Here is a 23,405-nt window from a genome sequence, read left to right as displayed (position 1 = left end):
CCCAACAAGAGCACACCAACAATTGGATCCACAGCTGCAATTTGGGCAGCTATAGCCCTGCCCATGGGGGCAGGGCTCCTACCTGCTCCATAGACTTGGGGGCCTGGGTTGGCAGCCACAGCTTGGGCAGCTACAGCAGCACCTGAGGAGCTTCTGCCCCAGCTCAGAAGGGACGGGGCTCCCACCAGCTCCATGGAGTGTGCAGCCCCAGCCGTGCCTCCTGGCTGCAGCCTACAGCAGGGAAGATGGCAGCAGCTGCTGCCATCAATAGGATTTTAGGTGACCATGCAGGCTGAGCTTCTCATCATGAACTTTGTGTTATGTTAGTCATAAGGTTGGGTATACACTGCAGAAATCGATCATCAAGTGGAAATGCTATAAAAGCATCTGAGCTCAAGGAGATTTCAGATACAAGTAAGTTATATTCCTTTGATATAACACCTCCTACATTAACTCCTCTCCCTCAATTCAGGCCTGTGGCCTCATGGAGAGTTCCACTAGCCCAACTGCCTTAAGAATAAAGAACTAGAGACTGGTTTACAGATGGGTCTGCATCATATATTGACCACACAGAAGTAGAAAGCTGCAGCATAAGACTCCATTAAGGGATGATCTTTGGCAGGGTGGGAGGGGGAATAGTGAAGGAAAATTGTTCAAGTGGGCAAAATTTTGACCAGTATGTTTGGTTGCCCAGTTTGCCATACTAAGAGATAGCTAGAATTAAATATCTACATGACTCATGAGCAGTTGTTAACAGTTTGTCTGGATGGTGAGGGACTTAAAAGGAACCAGACCTAATGATTGGTGACAAAGAACTCTGAAGAAAAGGTATGTGGAAGGAACTCTCAGAGCCAGCACAGAGGGTGAAGATATTTTTGTCTTACATAAATGCTCACCAAATCAGACATCCACTACCAAAGAAGCTCCCAATAACCAAGTGGACAAAATGGTGTACCGTGTTGGTCAGTCAGCTATGTTCCTCAGCCACCCCATTGATTGCTCAATGGGACCCATGAATACAGTGGCCATGGTGGGAGAGATGGAGGCTATTCATGAGCTCAACAATATGGATATCCCCAATGAACTGGACACTGCTCCTGATGGGTTCCTAATCTACTCACAGAAGACACCAACACTGAGGCTCATAGGGAACCATTCCCCAGGGGACCAGCCAGCCACCTGATGGCAGGTTGATTACTCTGGACTTCTTCCACCATTGAGAGATAAGAGATTTTTCCTCACTAGAATAGACACATCTACTGGATAAGGATTTAGCTTTCCTGCCTTAAATGTTTCTGTCAGCACCACTCTCTGCAGACTCATGAAATGTCTCATTAACTGTGCCTGATCAAGGAGCAAATTTTACAGTAAAGGAAGTATAGCAATAGGCCCATGCCCAAGGAATCTTACCACAATACCTCATCACCCAGGAACAGCTGGCTTAATTGAAAGCTAGACTGGCTCACTGAAAAGTCAGCTATGCTGTCAATTGTGAGATAACACCCTGAAAGAATGTTGTCTGTCTTACAAGCTGCAGTATATGCTTTGAACCAGAGATCCCTATATGGTGCCATCTCCCATACAACCAAAACATACGTGTCTGGCAATCAAAGGTGAAAGTGAGAGAAACACACTATTATACGTAGTAAAACACTAGCAGAATTTTTTGCTTCCCATTCAGCAACCTAGAGTTCTTCTGGTTTGGAGGTCTTGGTTCCCAAGAGGGAATTAAAGGATATAACAATGGTTCCATTGATTTGGAAGATAGACTGCCGCTTGACCATTTGGGGTAGCTTACACCACTGAACCAATAAGAAGAAAGGGTTACTCTACTGGCTGAAGTGATTGATCACAATTGCCAATGAGAAATTTGGTTGCTGCTACACAGTGGGGGACAAGGAGAGCTATATCTAGAAGCCTGCATACTTTTCATGCCCAATAGTAAAGTTTAGTTGAAAACTACAGCAAAAAAAAGAAAAAGTCAAGACTCTTGGGGAGTCATACTCTTCAGAAATGATGGTTTGGGTCAGCCTACTAGGATAAGAACCCCATCTAGTTAAGCTTCTGGATGAGGACAAAAAAATGAATGGGAAGTAGAGAAGGAAGACAAAGATAGCTACTGTGACCTTATAACTAATTATAAAGATTGCAGTAGATTTGTATACTTTTTGTATATATACTTATTTGTATATAGTAACTATTTTCTTCTCTGTTCCTCTTTCCCTGATTTTATACACAAGTTGTTGAAGGTTAACTTTATAATTCAGTTATCAGGTAACAAATTTGCAGAATGACTGTGACTAAACTTGGAGGTACTGAATATAATCAGCAATGAATAATGTCTTTTGGGAGTGATTGTTTCCATTTTGGGGAAAGTGTGAGAACTTCTTCACTTGTACAAAGGACAGCTGGAGCTTGTTTCATTGTTGACTGTTCAAATGTGTGTAGAAGGACATATATGGAAGTTGAGTGACCAAAAATGTAGGCTGTGCCAGTTATCAACATATTGCTCAGCTCCAAATCTACCCTTTCTTGCCCTGTTTTGGATACTGGAGCTGGACCCTGTAAAAATTTCTCTTTTGTTAGATGGATTGATGTTAGAATTTGTCAATAGATAATACTGGAAGGACACTAAGAGGTAATAGTAGAAACAAGGGAATTCCTTCCAGTGTGCTATTTTTTTTTTTTTTTTTTTTTGGTGTAGCAGTTGGTTCTCTGGTGTGCAGGAGACTTGATAGCACTCATCTAAGTAGTTCTTGTGGACCACCTCCCACCTATACCCTCTGGCAAGTTGCTCAAACCCACACATTCTGGCAAGTTTCCTAATCGTCTGAATCCATGCCATTCTTAGCTCCTTCCTCAGCCCAAGACGTGGAAGCTGCTTCCTGCAGTTGCTACTTCTGGATGCCCTAAAGTCCTTTCTTTGCCACTTTCAGTCATTACTTTTTACTAGTTAAGTCTTTGTGTTACATTCTCCCTACTTGAATTACTGGTAAGGTTTCTTTTCTCACCAGATGATTTCTGTTCTGTAGGGCCATTGAACACTGATCAATACACCATCTCAAGGTCAGGGCCCTTGTTGTTCCCTCTGCCTGGAACAATCTTCAACTAGACAAGTAAATACTCAAATATAGCTGCTGACTGACTGCTTTTGCTATCCAAACTGTCCTTCCTTTGTGGTTCCTCTGAAGCATCTGAGGTAGCCTCCATCTATCCATTGAAACAAGATGATACAGGCTCAATGACTGGGAACCATTGCCTGCAACCAGGATAAACCCAGGGAGAGTGACCATGAAAGGTTTACTTGTGATGTAAGCAGACATTTGAGTTTTGACTCTTAGTGAACTTGCCTGAGAATAGCATTACCATGACCTACAAACCCTAGGAACAACATCAAGATTCTCTGAGAGCCTATGGTTACAGTCTGTGTGCCCCAAAAATATTTATTGAGCCCCTACTATGTACCAAAAATTAATTATAGGCATTAGGTATACAGCAATATTTGGCTCTGATTCACCCCTAAAGTGTCCCGCAGCTCTGAGAGGTAACCTGTCTTCTACAGAACTACAAACATTCATTGGGTAGAACTTCACCCACAGGGTATTGGCCTTCCCACAAACCCAACTGAGTTTCAAAAAGAGGCCTCCCAGGGCCCTTCAAATAGTTGTGCAGCTTACTCAGTGCACAAAGATGCCTAGCCTAGGATGAGCGTTGAAGTGGCAGCAAGCAACTCCAACTGTTGAGCCTTGTGCCTGCTGAGGTTGTGGAGTCCAGCAGGTCACTTACTTGTAATTGCATATACAATTGATGGTTCTGGGACTTCATGTCCCACCTTGCTGAGCCCAAATCCAAAACAGGATGGATCTATTCAGAACCATGAGCATTTTTTCCAGGGCTAAGAATGCAGGAGCTTTCTTATCTAGGGAGAAGGGGCAGAAGCCACAGCAGCAGTGGTCTCTGTCTCAAGCACTCTCTGCTAAAACATGCTCAGGCCTCCTAAAATATGGCTGGGCCAGATCTTGCAAGAAGCCAAGAATTGTCTCCACTTATGCCTAATGCTGAGGTTACTCAGCCCTTGACTCTTGTACCATTGTGGTGGCTCCAGAGTCAGTGCATTAATTTTCCAATGCTGTGTAACAAATTTCCAAAAACTTAGCATCTTGTAACAACTCATATATCATCTCACAGTTGATATGGAAGACAAAGCATGGGTCCTTTGTCCATGGTTTCACCAAGCAATAATGAAGGTATACACTAGGCTGTATACTCATCTGCAGGCTTGACTGGGGAAGAATTCACTTCAAAGTTCATTAAAGTTATTGGCTGAAGTCAATTCCTTTGCAGTTGTATGACCATGGTCCCCATTTTTCTCCTGGCTGTTAGCTGGTGATAACTCTCAGCTCTAAGAAGCTGCATGAAATTCCTTGCCATTGGCCTTCTCATGACATGGCAACTTACTTCTTCAAAGCCAGCGAGGGAGAGTCTTTTGCTCTAGTCTGCTTAAGTGGACTTCTACATAACATACTGAGAACACAGAAATGACATCCTTTGCCATATCCTATTGGTTAGAAGCAAGTCACAGTCTCTGCCTGCACTCAAAAGGAAAGGATTGGACAAAGGCATGGACACAGGAAGCATAAAATCGCTGGGTGTGATCCTGTGGTCTTTATGGCACAGTCAGCCTCAGGACCAAGACTACACTAGAGGAAAATCCCAAATACATTCAACTAGGTGATCTGGGAATATCATGTTCACTTCGGCAGCACAGAGAGTATCCAGCAAGGCAGGGTTCCTGGGTGCCCCCTGCTGTACATCTCACGCAGAATCCCTGGAAGGATCCCAACCCTCAGGCACAGGATAGGCACTTAAATTACTTTTGGAGTGAATATACATAGTACAGGATGAGGTGACTGATGATACTTTCTTTGCAATGTCATCATTCTAATCCCCATCTTTGCCCCTCTCCAAATGTGTGTTTTGAAAAAAAAAAAGGTTTTACGATTCTATAACAGGAACTTTGTACTTCTTTATCTTTATCTTCATAGGCCTCCTCTTCCTTATGGAATTCTTCATGGCTCAGCTTCACCAAAAACAGGTCAAGGGGAAGTCAGTGGAGTTGGGAGTAGGTGAAGAGGAGGGTGGCTCCGTGGTGGTGATGCAGGAACACATCACTTTTCCGAAGAAATCCATCCTGAACTTTCAGATGCTCTTGCTTTTGTACCTCCTTTACTTCCTCCTGCAGGATGGCAGCTGGTGGGTGTTTCTGTTCCTTCTGTTTCAGCGCCTGCTTATGGTGAGCCAACCCAGCATCCACTGCAGCACCCATGGCTTCCCTAGCCCCTATCTCTGCCTTATACAGGCAATCATGGGGAAGCAGATGTCCGTCTACACCCTCTTCACCTTGTCCTGTGTGACAATCCTCTTCTGCTCAGGTTTCTTCATGTACAGTATCTACCATTACCTGTTAACAGGCCTTTCAAGTTTCAAGTTTTGAACTGATTGAAGTTTGGGAGGAACAACACCCTTCTTAAAGTCTTTTCTCCCTCGCATTATGATGTTTGTATTCCTCTAAATATTGTCTCTGGGACAGGGCCTACTCCTGATTACCTTAGTTGGTTTTCTCGTTTAAAAAATAAACATTTGCAGCTGGGCGTAGTGGCTCACACCTGTAATCCCAGCACTTTGGGAGGCTGAGGTGGGCGGATCACAAGGTCAGGAGTTTGAGACCAGTCTGGCCAATATGGTGAAACCCCGTCTCTCCTAAAAAATACAAAAAATTGCTGGGCATGGTGGCGTGCGCGTGTAGTGCCAGCTACTCAGGAGGCTGAGGCAGGAGAATTGCTTGAACCCGAGAGGCAGAGGTTGCAGTGAGCCGAGATCGCGCCACTGCACTGCAGCCTGGGTGACAGAGTGAGACTCTGTCTCAAAATAAGTAAATAAACATTTGCTGTTCTAGTTTTCTCTATATATAGTGATGCTAAGAGTGTCTATGGGTGGATGGCATACAGTTGATAACATTGCAGAGCTCTTTCACACAGATTATGTAATTTGGTCATCACCAGAAGACTGTGACATTCAGCTTTCCTTCAGTATCTTCAAATCTGGAAGAGTTTTCAGAATCTTAGAACTAAGAGCTTGAGATTTATTTAATTGTACTCTGGCTTCTCCAGCACTAATCCTAAATATAGAGAAGATAATTCTTCTCGAAAGGAAAATTCTTTGCTAGACTTGCCGGGTAGGTTTACCTTGGTTCTGCCCTGTGGGATTCCCCAAGCTCCTAGGTGTGGGCTCAGTCTTAACACCTCACTTGAGTCTCCAGCGAGGACTAAATAAATCTGGATGAGTCCCAATGGGAAGAGGATGGTGTGGCCAGTCCCACTAGGAGAGGATGAGGTTCAGTGGAAACAAACCACTAAATTTCACTGTACTTAGAATCCTGCCTTACTCCCAGAACTGACCCATCTATCTTGAGGTATGCTGCAGCCAGCCCAGGTCTACCAGGTCTACCACTCTTTGGGGCTCCCTGCTGAGACCTGTTGTTTGGACTTGCAAACACAAGGGAGTTGGACCAGACATGGCTAAAGATCTTCAGATTTGGGGTGAATCGAAAATGGCTGAAGGTCTTCACGTTCAAAGCAGTAGGGGATGTTGCCATGGCACCAGAAATCTTCATGGATGTGAGTTGGGGGATGCTGACCACATGCACCACTGCCCCGCATATGGCAATTAAGGCAAATCACTGCCAAACCACTGCTACCGACTAAAGTAGCAGCAGATTTGTCAACGCCCAAGCACAGCACAGGGATGGGTCCAGCCACTGCTCCTGCAGCCATCTCCTCCGACTCTCAGGAGAGTCACACACTCAGACCAGAAGAACTGTGACAGCACCTAGGAGGGAAGGAAAGCCGGAAAATTTGGAGTCAGATAGGGAGAATGGCTGCCAAGAAGTCTGCTCAAGTTTAGACCCATCACTGCTCTCAGCTCCATATCCCTCCTTGTGTTCCCACGATGTGGTTCTTCCTCCCTCTAGGTTTCAGCCTCTGATGAAGGCTGTCCACCTTTGGACACCACACGGCCCTACTGTCCCTTTTCTCTGGGACTGGATCTTGCCTGGCCCGCTGAGTCTCCGGCCCACTGCCGCGGTTCTGAGCTTCGCAGGTTCCCTCCCATCCCATGAGGCCTCGCGCCCAATGGAAACGCACAACGGAAATCTTCGTCCCGCCCACTGCCTCTCCATCCCTCAGACTCTTCTGGAGCGGTGCCATTGGCTGTGCCCTCTGCCTGTCTCCAGGGTCTTCATGAATCACCAGTCTCAGAAAAGCAGGTGCTGGAGAACCTGCAGCCCAAGTCTACAGCAGTTTAGATGGCAGCTTTTCCTGGGGTTCAGGAGCCTGCTCTGAAGATTGGGCCAAGGCCCTGGGGATACTCATGGCCCAATCTATCTTTTCTTTCAGTCCGCTCCAGAATTCAGATTTCCAACCGTCTGAACTCGGCATAGATCATCAGCAGATCCAACAAAAGGAGCTTGGGAACATTTTCTATCCCTTTCAAACCTCCAACTGCTCTGTCCCGCACTCCCCTTCATCTCCTACTTTAAATGGAAAAAAATAGACATTGTCAGCCAGGAAACACCTTCGTTTTCCTTCCAAATCCACTAACCTATTTTCATCTGTGTTTATCTTTCTTCCCTCTTGTCACAAGGCAGAAGGGCAGCGACCCTTCGCATGGGGGGAGGCCAGTCTTCCCTTGTGAGTTCCCGATCCCATCCCCATGCCGTCTCAGAGACCCTGCCCCACTGCTTAGCCCCTCTGCTCCCTGAATCCTGTCACTGCCTCTCTAACGGGACCTTGCCATCAGCATCCGAACAGTGCCTCCTTTCTGACCGTCCCTATCCACAACACACTCTGTCCTCTTCACAGTCAAGCCCTTTGAAGAGCAGACACCTGCCCACACGCGCTGCCTCCACCTCCCCACCTTGGAGTCACCTTCCACTCCTCCCATTTGGTGAGGTCAGAATCTTCATTTCAATTAGGAGAATGATGTGCTTGCTTTAATCAAGCAATGAGAATAATTCACTGTATGTTTGTCTTGGCTGAAATCTCAGTGCTTCATATTTAGAGTAATTCTATTGGACTAGGTTAATAATATATTTCTTTTTATTTCCTGATACTTTACATTTTACGGTTTGATACTATAGATCATATTATAATCTACCATAAATTCTTTAGAGTTAAAATTTCTACAAAGACAAACACCTGGCTCAATTTGTGTTTAACTCAAAAAGCAATTTCAAGGAAATGATTATGTAAAGTATGGTAAAAAAAAATGTGAAAACATGGTATGTACTCATTTAGCTCTAAATCCTCAGTGACTAGCATAGAGTAGATCTCAATAAGTGTTTGTTGAGCGTGCAAATGAATGCTATAAAGCTGAGAGGAAAAGCTACAAAATGCTATGTACTTGATAACCACAGCGTTGCTTATCTATGTATGCCCACCACCACAGGCTAGAAACGAAAAAAGGAAAATAAGTGAATCATTGGGATGAGGGAGCTGTAGGTGGATTTCTTCCCTTTTTATTTAATAGTATTACAGTGAATATAAACTGGAGGGGGCACTGCACTAGAGCTCTCTATAATACAATTCTACACTCTTCATGCTTAATTTGGCAGAAGATATGGTTTTGGTTATATATTGCTGCAAATCAAGCCATTTCAAAACCTTATGACTTAGAACAACAATGATTATTATGACCCAATGATTCTCTGGGTCTGGGCAGGACCTGGTTGGCCTGCTCTGTCCCACGTGGCATCAGGCTGGGTGTCTCATGAAATCATGGTGGACGGCAGCTGGGCTGAACTGGAAGGCCATTCACACAGCAAGTGTTCAGCCTCCCACATGGCCTCCCTCACCGCATGTGCTGCCTCTTCATTCAGTCTTTTACCTTAAGCTTCTTCATCACATGCATCTGGCTCCCCTAGAGAGCATAAACATCGTCATGACATTGCCTTGGAAGCCTACACAACATCATTTCTGTAATCTCAGACTCAGGGGAAGAGAAAGAGATGCCACCACTTGATGGGAGGAAAGACAAGCTCTCCTTGCAAAAATCCTGCAAGGTGGGAGACAGAGATATTGTCATTTTTGGAAACAGTCTGCTGCTGGTGCTTTAATGATGTTTTATTCCTGAAGTTACAGAGAAACCTATTTCAATGCACTCCTGCTTAGCAGACAGCCTAGTGAGTATACTCTAAGGGTAGAGTTTTCTGTAAACCTGAGTGTTCATTTTAAATAGCTCAATTGAAATAAACTAAAAAATGAGCAGCAGTGTCTGGAGCAGGTGTGAGGGTTACCTGAGGCTGTCCAGAGGCAATGAGCCTAAGGCGGGAGCCTTTACCTGATCTGCCCACCACGGGTTCCTGAATCTTGATCACAGTCACCAGGAGACACCCCACTGATCCATTTCTCTCTCTCTACAGTACTACCTGGAGGTTTTATTTTTTTCACTTGGAATATCATAAGCAAGATTTTCAGTGTGGTCATTTTTATTGTGGTAAAATACACATAACATACAATTTACCATCTTACCCATTTTTAAGTTTACAGATCTATGGCATTCACCACCATATGCCTCTAGAACATTCTCACCTTCCCAAACTGAAACTCTCTACCTATTAAACATGAGCTCCCCATTCTCTCTTCCCCTTAGCCTTTGGCAAACATTGTTTAACTCTCTATCTCCATGAATTTGATGAGTCTAGGAAGCTCATATAAAAGGAATTATACAGTGTTTCTCCTTTAGTGCCTGGCTTAATTCACTTAGCATAATATCCTCAAGGTTCCTCTATGTTGCAGTGTGTGCTAGAGTTTCTTTCCTTTTTAAGGCTAAATAATTTTCACTTATATCCGTAGCACACTATGTTTATCCATTCATCCATCAGTGAGCTCTTGGGTTGTTTCCATCTTTTAGCTATTGTAAATAAGCCTGTTGTGAACATACATGCACAAATATTAAAAATGATTTTAAAACAATAATTAATTCAGCCAACATGTATTGAACATCTACCATGTGTCAGGTGCTGTGCTGGGTGCTGGGGATACAACAAGACTGCAGACACAGCCGCCCTGCCTCCCAGAGCTTAGTGTCTAATGTGGGAGACTACAGGCAACTTCAGCTTAGTGGAATAACTGTCAGCAGAGGGGGAACAGGCACCTGTGAGCACACGGGCTAGATCCCACCCAACCTCCAAAAAAAGGTTTCCAGATTGTGTGGCTTGGAACCTGAGCTCTGAAAAGTGAGTCTTGGACTAGGTTCATGATATATTTCTTTTTATTTCCTGATACTTTACATTTTATAGTTTGATACTGTAGATCATATTATAATCTACCATAAATTCTTTAGAGCTAAAATTTCTATGAAGACAAACACCTGGCTCAATTTGTGTTTAACTCAAAAAGCAATTTCAAGGAAATGATTATGTAAAGTATGGTAAAAAAATGTGAAAACATGGTATGTACTCATTTAGCTCTAAATCTTCAGTGACTAGCATAGAGTATATCTCAATAAGTGTTTGTTGTATACGTATAAGAGTGTGGGAGCAGACAGGAGCAGGCAGAGCAGCATGGGCAGAGACCCAGAGACATCTGGGTCAGAGGATAAAAAGGTGGGGTTGGCAAGCACTCAGGCAGAGCGAAATGCAGGAGCTAGAGCAGACAATGTTGGCCCTGTGAACCTGTTATCAAATTTGGGTTTGTCTTAATCATAGGTAGTCACTGAAACCCTTCAAGTAGGAAAGTGACAGGATCTAGTCTACATTTTACACAATCAGCCTGTCTGTAGTGTGAGAGTGGATTGGACTGGATAAAGCAGGAAGCTACTGTTCAAATCCAAGCCATCAAAGACGGAGGTCTGAACTAATCAGATAGTGGGGAAGGCAGGTAAGGCACATCTGGTGGCTGACTGAAAGTAGGAAGGGAGGGAGAAGGTGGCATCAAGGAAAGAAAACCAGAGATAATTATTAAACAGTGAATTCAAGTATAAATAGAAGTGCAGCAAAACATGGATGCTGCCAAGTAGGGGGTCTGGTGTTGACGTTCAGTCCTTCTCCAAAGATAGGGGTTTTACCTTTGTCCTCTTGTCTGTTCAGATTTTCCTTCATCAGCCTGATTTGCTACAACCTTCTTGACCTCCACTATGACCCACATCAAAAGTGCTACCATCTTCAGAGCATGATCTATGTTCCGCAGTCCTCAAAATACTGTGTTATGTATTTTGTTTTTTGTTTGTTTGTTTGTTTTTTGAGACAGAGTTTTGCTCTTATTGGCCAGGCTAGAGTGCAATAGCGCGATCTCGGCTCACTGCAACCTCCTCCTCCTGGGTTCAAGTGATTGTCTTACCTCCGCCTCCTGAGTAGCTGGGATTACAGGCATGCGCCACCATGCCCGGCTAATTTTTGTATTTTTATGGAGTTTCACCATATTGGTCAGGCTGGTCTTGAACTCCTGACCTCATGTGATCCACCCACCTTGGCCTTCCAAAGTGCTGGAATTACAGGTATGAGCCACTGCACCCAGCCTGTTATATATTTCAAATTCACATGTTGAAGCCCTAATCTCTAATATGACTATTTGAGATAGGGCCTATAAGGAGGTAATAAAGGTTAAATGAGGTCATAAGTATTGGCCCTTAACCTGATAGGGCCTCTTAATCTATTGGGTCTCAATATGATGTCCTTACAAGCAGGGGAAGAGGCACCAGATATCTCTTTTTCTGCCTGTGCACAGAGAAGAGGCCATGAGAAGACATAGCAAGAAGGCAACCATATGCAAGCCAGGAAGAGAGCCTTCACCAGAATCCAACCCTGACAGGACCTTGATCCTGGACCTCCAGGCTTCAGAACTGTTGTTTAAGCTACTAGTCTGTGATATTTTGTTCTGGCAGCCTGAACAACCTAATACACAGTCTTAAGAGGTAGATATCATCCCCATTTATAGATGAAGAAACTGAGGCTCAGAGGGTTTGACTTTACTAAGATTGAAGGGTAGTAAGCCACTCTGAGCATGTCCTGGATGTAGTGCCATGCCCTGTAATGTACCATCCAATGAGACCAGGAATCAACTGGGCCTTCACTTGACCAAAGGATGATATATAGGCCTATCATTGATACGTTAGTGTGAGCAACAAATGCCAGAACCAGATGATACCAGTTGCAAACACTAGACCACAGCCAGGAAAGACCATTTCATGTCATGACATCACCATCTTGTTTGAGTGAATGCTGCAGCTACCATTGTGGGGCATTGCTAGAGACCATGTCCTGGCATGTGGGAAACTACAACTACTGACCCAATCAAGGAACTCAATTCACCCTCCTCAATATACAGGATTGGCTGCGTTTCTGGACACAATCTGGACTTTCTACCCATTGTACCATCTGTAAGAGGCAGTGGGGTAAATAAAATATAGAAATTAAAGAGAAGGCCAAAGTATCACTTGACATTAGCATAAAGTAAGTCAAATCAATAAAAAGACAACTCAAAAATAGGCAAGTTACCTGAATCCATACTTTACTCCTTTGAGACAAGCACTTTATAAACATTACATTGCTCAGTTATCAAAATGGCTGTATAAACCTGGTATTGTTGTCATCCCTTTTTCCCAGAGAAAACTGAAGTAGAGGGAAATAAGTCTCTGAGGGCACATGGCCAACCAGAGAACCAGGATCTAGAAATGCAGGACACAGAAGTGCAGAGCCCATACTTCTAACCTTTAAGGACTATGAAGGAGCAGAGAGGAATTGGGATGAGGTGGTCACAGCAGTGGCTGAAGGAAGCTAAAAGAAGGAAAAATTTCTCCTCCAAAGGAGTAGAACAATGTTGCTTAGATCTTCGCCCTGACTACACTTTCCTCAAAACTCTGCACTCAACCTTCCTGCTTAGTTCCACATCTTATCTTGCCCTCGGACTGGTCCATTCCCAACGAGTTGACAAATTCATGTCCACTCAGAACCTCGAATGTGACCTTGTTTGCAAACAGGGTCTTTGTAGATGTAACCAAACTAAGGGAAGTTCATAGTGGATTAGAGTGGGCCCTCCCAAATCCAATATTTGCTGTTCTTAAGAAAACACAAACACACACACACACACACACACACACACACGGAAGAATGTGTCATGTAAAAGTGGAGGCAGAGATTGGAGTGGTGTATCTACAAGGTAAGGGACACCAAGGGTTGCCAAGAACCACCAGGATCCAGGAGAGAGCCATGGAACAGAATCTCTCTCAAAGCCTCCAGTAGAAACTAATCCTGCTAACATCTGGACTTTGTACTTCCAGAGTTCACATCTGTGAGAAAATAAATTTCTGTTGTATTAAGCTAGCCATTTGTGGCATGTTATTACAGGAGCCCTAGAAAACCAACCCAGTGATTTCAAGGGCTCCTTGAAAGTATGGCATTTTCACAATATTAATTCTTCCTATCCGTGGGCATGAAATAGTTTTTCATTTGTTTGTGTCCTCTCTGATTTCTTTGAGCAGTGGTTTGTAGTTCTCCTTGAAGTGGTCCTTCACATCCCTTGTTAGCTGTATTTTATTCTCTTTGTAGCAGTTGTGAATGGGAATTAGTTCATGATTTGGCTCTCTATTTGCCTATTACTGGTGTATAGGAATGCTAGTGGTTTTTGCACATTGATTTTGTATCCTGAGACTTTGCTAAAGTTGCTTATCAGTTCAAGAAGGTTTTGGGCTGAGATGATTGGGTTTTCTAGATATAAGGTCATGTCATCTGCAAACAAAGATAATTTGACTTCCTCCCTTCCTATATGAATACCCTTTCTTTCTTTCTTTTGCCCGATTGCCCTGGCCAGAACTTCAATACTATGTTGAATAGGAGTGGTGAGAGAAGGGATCCCTGTGTTGTGCCAGTTTTCAAGGGGAATGCTTCCAGGTTTTGCCCATTCTGTATAATATTAACTGTAGGTGTGTCATATATGGCTCTTATTATTTTGAGGTATGTTCTTTCAATACCTAGTTTATTGAGAGTTTTTAACATGAAGCGATGTTGAACTTTATCAAAGGCCTTTCCTTCACCTATTGAAATAGCTGTGTGGTTTTGTCTTTAGTTCTGTTTCATGTGATGAATCACACTTACTGATTTGGGTACGTTGAGCCAACCATGGGAAGAAAACCAAGTTGATCATGGTGGATAAGCTTTTTGATGTGCTGCTGGACTCGGTTTGCCAGTATTTTATTGAGGATTTTTGCATCGATATTCATCGGGGATATTGGCCTGAAGTTTTATTTGTTGTATCTCTGCCAGCGTTTGTTATCAGGATGATGCTGTCCTCATAAAATGAGTTAGGGAGGAATCCCTCCTTTTCAATGTTTTGGACTAGTTTCAGTAGAAATGGTACTAGCTCTTCTTTGTACCTGTGGTAGAATTCAGCTATAAATTTATCTGGTCCTGGGATTTTTGTAGTTGGTAGGTTATTTTTTACTGCCTCAATTTCAGAACATGTTATTGGTCTATGCAGGGATTCAATTTCTTCCTGGTTCAGTCTTGGCAGGGTATATGTGTCCAGGAATTTATCAATTTTTCTAGATTTTCTAGTTTATGTGCATAGAGGTGTTTATAGTATTCTCTAATGGTTGTTTGTATTTCTGTGGGGTTGGTGGTGATATCCCCCTTATCATTTCTGATTGTGTTTCTTTGATTCTTCTTTCTTTTCTTCTTTATTAGTCTAGCAAGCAATGTATCTATTTTTTTTTTCCCAAAAAAACAGCTCCTGGATTTGCTGATTTTTTTGAAGGGTTTTTTTGTGTCTTCATCTCCTTCAGTTCTGCTCTGACATTGACTATTTCTTGTCTTCTGCTAGCCTTGGGGTTTGTTTGCTCTTGGTTCTCTAATTCTTTTAGTTATAATGTTAGTATGTTAACTTGAGATATTTCTAGCTTTTTGATGTGGGCATTTAGTGTTATAAATTTCTCAACATTGCCCTAGCTGTGCCCCAGAAATCCTGGTATGCTATCTCTTTGTTCTCACTAGTTTCAAAGAACTTCTTGATTTCTGTCTTAATTTCATGATTTACCCAGGAGTCATTCATGAGCAGGTTGTTCAATTTCCATGTAGTTATGTGGTTTTGATTGAATTTCTTAATCTTGATTGTGCTGTAGTCTGAGAGACTGTTTGTTATGATTTTAGCTCTTTTGAATTTCCTGAGGAGTGTTTTACTTCCGATTATGTGATCAATTTTAGAGTAAGTGCCATGTGGTACTGAGAAGAATGTATATTCTGTTGTTTTTGGGTGGAGAGTTCTGTAGATATATATCATGTCCACTTGATCCAGAGCTGAGTTCAGGTCCTGAATATCATTGTTAATTTTCTGTCTTGATGATCTAATTTTGTAAATGGGATATTAATGTCTCCTACTATTGTTGTGTGGGAGTCTAACCCTCTTTGTAGATCTCTAAGAACTTGCTTTATGAATCTGGGTGTTCCTGTGTTGGGTACATTTATATTTAGGATAGTTTGCTCTTCTTGTTGAATTGAACCATTTACCATTATGTAATGCCCTTCTTTGACTTTTTTGATCTTTGTTGGTTTTAAATCTGTTTTGTCAGAAAATAGGATTGTGACCTCTGTTTTTTTCTGTTTTCCATTTGTTTGAATAAATTTTCCTTCACCTTTTTATTTTGAGCCTATGTGTCTCTTTGCATGTGAGATGGGTCTCTTGAGAGCAGCATACCAATCAGTCTTGGCTCTATCCAGCTTGCTATTCTATGTCTTTTATTTGGGGGCATTTAGTCCATTTACATTTAAGGTTACTATTGTCATGTGTGAATTTGATCGTGTCATCATGATGCTAGCTGGTTATTTTGCAGACTTGTTTATGTGGTTGCTTCATAGTGTCACTGGCCTGTGTAATTCAGTGTGTTTCTTTAGTGGCTGGTAATGGTTTTTCCTTTCTATATTTAGTGCTTCTTTCAGGAGTTCTTGCCAGACAGGCCTGGTGGTGACAAATTCCTTCAGCATTTTCTTGTCTGAAAAGCATCTTATTTCTCCTTCACTTATGAAGCTTAGTTTGGTCAGATATAATATTCTGGGTTGGAAATTATTTAAGAATGTTGACTATTGGCTTCCAATTTCTTCTGGCTTGTAGGGTTTCTGCTGAAAGGTCCATTGTTAGTCTGTTGGGCTTCCCTTTGTAGGTGACCTGGCCCTTCTCTCTGGCTGTCCTGAACATTTTTTCTTTCATTTTCATCTTGGAGAATCTGATGATTATGTGTCTTGGGGTTGATTTTCATGAAGTATCTTACTGGAGTTCTCTGGATTCCCTGAATTTGAATGTTGACCTGTCTTGCTAGCTGAGTAAGTTCTCTTGGATCACATCCTGAAGTATGTTTTCCAATTTGGTTCCATTTCCCACCCCACATCTCTTTCATATACCCTAATCAGTCACAGATTGGGTCTTTTTACATAATACCATAGTTCTTGGAGATTTTGTTCATTTCTTTTTATTCTTTTTTCTCTATCCTGTCTGCCTGGCTTATTTTAGATAGATAGTCTTTAAGCTCTGATATTCTTTCCTCTGCTTTGTCTATTCTGCTATTGATACTTGTGATTACACTTGAAGATCTCTAGTTGTGTTTTGTCAGCTCCATCAGGTGGGTTATATTCCTGTCTAAACTGGCTATTCTGGTTATCAGATCCGGTATTGTTTTATCATGATTCTTAGCTTCTTTGCATTGGGTTACAACATGCTTCTTTAGCTCATTGAAGTTCGTTATTACTCACCTTCTGAAGCCTACTTCTGTCAATTCAGCCATCTCAGCCTCAGACCAACTCTATGCTCTTGCTGGAGAGGTGTTGCAGTTATTTGGAGGAGAACTAGCACTCTGGCTCTTTCAGTGAGTTTTCAGGGTTTTTGTGTTGATTCTTTCTCATCTTTGTGAGCTTATCTACCTTTGATCTTTCAGGTTGCTGACCTTTGAATAGGGTTTTTGTAGGATCCTTTTGTTGATATTGTAGTAGTTGTTGTTTTCTGTTTGTTGTTTTTCTTTTAACAGGAAGGTCACTCTTCCTTAGGGCTGCTGTGGTTTTCTGGGGGTTTGCTCCAGACCTTTCTTGTACTTGGAGCTATCACCAGTGAAGGCTGCAAAATAGCAAAAATGGCAACCTGCACCTTTCTATGAAAGCTCTGTCACAGAGGGTATGACATGTTGCTGGCCCAAATGCTCTTGTATGAGGTGTCTGGAGAACCCTATTGAGAGGTCTAACCCAGTCAGGAGGAATGGGATCAGAGACCTGCTTAAAGAAGCAGTCTGGCTGCTTTTTGGTAGAGCAGGTGTGCTGCATTGGGGTTGGGCAGCACTTTTCCTCATCTTGACGGCCTAGACTCTCCAGAGCCAGCAGGATGTAATGGCTGAGTTGACCAAACCACAGATATGGCGGCTGCCCCTCCCCACAGGAACTTGGTCCCATCTTAGGTAGTCTCTGGCCTGTTGCCACTGGCTGGCTGGAATTCCAAGCCAGTGGGTTTTAACTTGTGAGGTGCCCTGGAAGTAGGGCCTGCAGAATGACACTGCTTGGCTCCCTGGATTCAGCCCCCTTCCTAGGGGAATGTCTGGACAGATCTCCCACCTTGCCAGGATTCCTGGGGCTGGAGTATATAAAGCTCCTGGATCTCTGTGTGTGCTTGTGCAGCTGCTTTGCTGAGCATCCACACAACTCTGTGTATCAGACCCAAGGCCCTGGTGACATGGTCTCACGAGGGGATCTCCTGATCCACAGGTTGCAAAGATCCATGGGAGAAGCATGGTTTCCTGGGTGGGGTTGCACAATCACTCACTGCTTCCCTTGGCTTGGGATGGAGGTTCCTTTGCCTCTGTGCTGCTCCTGGGTGGGCCGTCGCCCCACCCTGCTTTTCTTCGTTCTCTGTGGTTTGAGTTGTTTGCCTAGTCAGTCCCAATGTGAGAACTTGGATATTTCAGTTGAAGGTGCTGAATTCACTTGCTATTTTCATTCCTCTCCATGAGAGCCGTGGACTGCAGCTGCTTCTAATAGGCTATCTTGGCCCCTCCTCACCAGGCGTAGGAGTTTGATAACAGCATGGGCAACATAGTGAGACCCCATCTCTACAAAAACTAAAAAATTAGCTGGATGTGGTGGTGTGCCTGTAGTCCTAGCTACTCAGGGGGCTGAGGTGGGAGTATTTCTTGAGCCCAGTTGTTAAAAGCTGCAGTGAGCCATGATCATGACATTGTACTCCAGCCTGGGCAACAAAGTGAGACCCTGTCTCTAAAAAAAATAATAAAAACAAGAAAAGGCATTTCTTTCTTTCTGGGGCTTTGAGACCAGAGCTTTGAGGAATCTACTGATCATTTGGCTCAGCAAGGAAGTAGGGGCAAACTAGGTGCTAGTATCTATGTCAACCTTTTTTCAGGATGGTATTGACCAAACATGAGATAGGCTCTAGAGAATCATTCTTCACACCTTCAAGAGCTAAAACCAGGAGAGGGTCGACTCAGACTGCAGCCCCCTAAAGACTGACTACCCAACCCCATTCTTTAACACCCCACATATCAGGTCATTATTGTAGAATTCCATTTAGAACAATTTTTGACACTATAAAAGTAATACTTGTTTCATTGTATGAAATATTTAAAATACAAATTATTTTTTTAAGAAAAGGAAGAAAAATCATTCACTGCCAGAGACAACACTGATATTTTGGTACCTATTCTGGTAGTATATATTTTTTAAATACCTAATATAGGCAGAATTTATTTTGACAAAAATAAGGTTAACAATTTTTTTCTTCCCATAAAATATTCCTCTATACAGCATAATCACCAATCACAGGAGTCTATCACAGTTTTTTTCTTCTTCTTTTTTTTTTTTTTGTAAGAAACAGGGTCTCATTATGTCACCCAGGCTGGAGTGCAGTGGTGGGATTATAATTCATGGTAGCTTTAAATTCCTGGGCTCAAGTGATCCTCCCACCTCAGTGTCTAGAGTCACTGTAGTTCCAGGCCTGCACTACTGTTAATCAACCACTGTTTCTTAGGCTTGTATGCAATAAAAATTGATATGAGGCTCAGAAAGTTTCCCAGACAAGGCTTTATTAAGACTTATGCTCAAGCACAAGGGAGACAGCATAAGAGCAAGAGTTCTCTGGCTGGCTCTCTGAGGACAGGTCTTCGTGGTGTTTTAGGAAGGGTGACAGGAATAAACATGAGGTATGTGAGCATCATTACATTTGCAGGGCAGAGTGCAGGGTGCACAGATGCAGTGGGAAGTCATGTTAGTATGTACATCACAAGATCGAATAATGGCAGAAAAGCCCCTCCTAGGGTGAGGATTTTATTATAATGAGGCAAGAGATTAAGATCTATCATTTTCCTGGACTTATATACATGAGGGCAATAGGGTTAATTCCCTTGAGTAAGATTTATGGTGCAATGCTTCTTATCTTAGTTTTCTCACATAGTTTTTAAGGTCTTGTGATCAGCAGGTATGGTGACAATGGGGTAGTGCCAGGTCTGGTGGTTAGTGAGTATGTGTGGAAAAATACTCACTAAATACCAAAATACTAAATACAAAAATAGTAGGAGTGGAGCCCAGTCCCATCCCTGCTGTTTCACCGTAACGCCTGGCTAATTTTTTAATCTATATATTTTGTAGAGACAGTTAGTTGCTACATTGTCCAGGCTGGTCTCTGTAAACCAAATAAAACTCTAAGCCTTCCAACCAATGAATGGACTCCCCTCTTGGCCAAAGGGATCCCAAAGAAACCTGAGAAACCAGTTCAGGCTATGACAGGAAGTGTGGGTTTGTCATGACTCGTTATACCCTCTTCTTGTTGGAGTTTAGGCACAACTGACTTGCATTAACATTAAAATAGAGATAATAAGACTGACAAAATAGACTCTATGTAGCAATAAGATACCCAGCTCCAACATGACTCTGGTATAGCATCACATGACAGATAGCAGGCCCTGAAAAAATCAAGTATTTTACCCCCAAATATACTTTCTTTGGCATATTTTGAAATGACCCTGTAAAGCCATCTCTTGTGGTGGAAATTTGCATTCTTTATAAAATCTCCTTCCTTTACTAGTTCTTTACCAGACAGTCTGACACCACTTAAAGTTGACAAGAGACAAGATCTATTCTCTCTGAAGCCTGTTAATTAGAGGCTTCATCTAAATAACAAGAACCTTGGCTTCCACAACCCTTTTTATCTTAACTCAAACATTTCTTTCTGTTGCCTTCAACTCTTTAGGCAAAGCTTAACTCTTTCAACCAACTGCCAATCAGGAAATCTTGGAATCTGCCTATGACCTAGAAAACCAGATTCCCCAAATTCATGATGTCCCACCTTTCTGGGCTGAAGCAATGGATGGAAGTTCCCAGCAGTGATGTTGAGTTGCATAGAACATCACTTTATCATACAAAGCTGCCAGTAGCACCATCTTCACTACTTCCAGGGCACAACTGAAGGCCACCTCTATTGGGTTTGTGAAAAGGACAAAAAGATGGACCAGATGTTATGCCCTGGTTTGCACCCTTCTGCTGGCAAGCTAGGAGACAGTTCTCAGCCCTTTCATGATTGGGTTCTGCTGTCCTGCTGATAGAAAGTCATGGCTCTACGGGACCCATCTTCAATTACCCATCCACTCATCCTTTCACCCCGCCCCTCTTCCAGCCACTGAGTGGGCTAAAAGGGGCAATGGAGATATCCTAGTGCTGTGGTTTTCAAATTCTTCTCTCTGGGGGACAGAAAAAGGGTTGGAATCTCTCTTCACTTCCACAACCACCTAATCAGAATGTCTCTGATTTATTGGTTCCATTTGTTTTCATTTTTATACAAGGTTTTGTTTAAATTGAATGTTCTTAATTTTTTTTTTTTTTTTGAGACAGAGTTTCACTCTTGTTGCCCAGGCTGAAGTGCAATGGTGCAATCTTGGCTCACTGCAACCTCTGCCTTCTGGGTTCAAGTGATTCTTTTGCTTCAGCCTTCCCAAGTAGCTAGGATTACAGGCATGCACCACCATGCCTGCTTAATTTTTTTGTATTTTTAGTAGCGACGGGGTTTCTCCATGTTGGTCAGGCTGGTCTTGGAACTTCCGACCTCAAGTGTTCCTCCTGCCTACCAAAGTGCTGGGATTACAGGCGTGAGCCACCGCGCCTGGCCCGAATGTTCTGAATTTTAAAGAAGGAGTGATAACCACTTATTTAGGACTCCCATTTTACAGATAAGGAAACAGAATTCTAACAGTAACTCATATAAGAAGATGCAGCTAATGGCAAAACTAAGCCAGAGGCCATCAAGGTTGACTCAAATGCCCAAAACTGCATGGAGAAAATGACACAGCCTTGCCCCCGTCTAATCGAATCTCTTATGTGTAGAGTTATGAACATGGATAAAAACCATTGTGTGGGTCAGTAGAAGAGTGCATGTAATACAAGGATTCATGAAATTGGTCCACTGCCCATATCACCCTGAACGTGCCGGGTCTCATCTGATCTTGGAAGCTAAGCAGAGTCAGGCCTGGTTAGTCCTTGGATGGGAGAGTAATGGGATTCATGAAATTGGAACACCTGCGAGAGTACTCCAGTGTACGATGCTGCAGCACCCATGCTATAGTCCACTCTTCTCTTCCTTGCCTCCCTGAGGGACCCACATCTGGTTGTCCAGGGCCCTCAGGAAATTGCCTCATTTCCTTTCTCTATTCCCTGGTGGTTAGGCTTACCTAATGGGGTCAGAGTTGCTTTTGCTTCCCAGGGGCCCCTCCTTGCTGTGTTCTACCATCTTCTGGGGAGCATTTTGCTAAATCGCCCAGCAGTGATGACACAGCACAGCCAGCAGCAGCTGTAGGTAGAGCTCCTGGACTGCCTCCTGGCACAGGAATCCTGACAACATCTGACACAAGGCCCACAATACCTGGGAGGAGGGAAGCAGAGTTGAACAGACCTGGGCTGTGATCCCTCACACTGAAAGCCCAGGCAAGAATCCCACCCTGTCTTCCCAATGGGCACAGCTCACTCTAGCTCAGTCTAGTAAGAAACATCCAAAGACTGAAAACCCACACCTTATCCCTAGGGAAATGAGGAGGGCACACACGTAATCTGATTTCTCTTCTGCTTATTTGACATTCAAAAGGAAAAGGGAACCAGCTCTAAGTTTTCAGCAGATGATTTTTGGCATACTTTTGTCCACCCCAATTCCAGGCAACCAAACCTCCTCCTTTCTCATCCCTCATGTGACACCACCAGGCCTTCAGTAAAATGATTCCAGCCCCAGAATCAGGAGAGGAGATAGCTGATTATTCCTGCATGCCAGTTGCCTTGTTAAAAAAAATGGGATTGATCGCTGCCCTTTCTCCACCATGCAATTCTTAGATCAGTTCTTAGCTCTGGCCTGGGCTCCTGTTCAATCCCTCTCCCCCTACCAGCCTGTCACCCCCACCATGTGAAAAACCCAGCCCTTCCCGGTGCAGCCACCTTGTCTCCAGGGACAGGATAGAAAATTCCTACCTAGGCTGCAAGGTTAATGGGACACCGGGGCTGGGCCTGGAGGGGGTGTGGGGCTGGGGAGGCTGGCTGAGGCCAGCATTTGCATTTCCTGAACTAGGGGATTAGAGGCCATACTGTGGCCTTATTTGTACTTCTCTGTGTCTACATCTACGAAGAAAGATAATTTTTAAACAGTAAAATGACAGATTCTGAATCTGTCTGGAACTTTACAGGTCATAAAGGCCTCTACCAGTTGATTATTATAAAGATTGAAGGACATGCAGACTTTCCTTCTGGAACATACGTGTGTGTCTAAGGGAGGGATGAATGAGTGAGTGACCCAAGGACAAAGCCATTCTTTGCTGACCTTGAGGACAACATCTAACACTGTGGGTGCTGCATGTGGTTTTCCCAGTGGAGCTCAAAACCCCAGTGAAAAAGCCACAGTTCCTGGGAAGTGTTATGGATTCTATGATAGCATTACTTTTTATAAGCGATTAATACCCAAATTCACCATGTTCAAAAACAGAGTTCTGAATGATTCACTCCTCCACCCCAAACCAGCTTTGCCTCTCTTCTTCATCTAACTAAATGGCCCCACCATCCATCCAGAGTTGCTCAGCCCAAAACCCTAGAGGTCCATCTTCAATTCCCTTCTCCTGCCTAACTCACATCCAATCCACTGTAATGTCTTGTCAAGATGACCTCTGAAGCATTTCCCAAATGGATGCAGTTCCCTACCTCTCCACTGTTTCCAGCCTGGTCAAAGCTACCATCATTTCCTGCCTGGAGTACTACAGAAGCCTCTTGCTTGGCCTTCATGTTTGTACTCTCTTCCCCTTTGGGTGTTTTCCATAGACCATCTGGAGTTATCTTTTTTAATGCAAGT

General features: G+C 43.3%; 1 long non-coding RNA gene and 1 pseudogene across 1 annotated transcript; both read left to right on the top strand.

The window, feature by feature from the left end:
• The first annotated feature begins 7,210 nt into the window (after window positions 1-7,210).
• LOC105369718 (uncharacterized) lies at window positions 7,211-12,514 on the top strand. Its single transcript, XR_931482.2, has 3 exons — window positions 7,211-7,324; window positions 7,455-8,009; window positions 11,743-12,514. It is a non-coding gene; the product is annotated as an uncharacterized LOC105369718 (long non-coding RNA).
• Window positions 21,485-21,578, top strand: RNA5SP356 (RNA, 5S ribosomal pseudogene 356; annotated as a pseudogene).

The sequence above is a fragment of the Homo sapiens genome, chromosome 12 (genome assembly GCF_000001405.40).
Source record: "Homo sapiens chromosome 12, GRCh38.p14 Primary Assembly".
NCBI lineage: Eukaryota > Metazoa > Chordata > Mammalia > Primates > Hominidae > Homo > Homo sapiens.
Note: the sequence above shows the minus strand (reverse complement) of the source record. Positions and strands in the feature narration are given on the sequence as shown.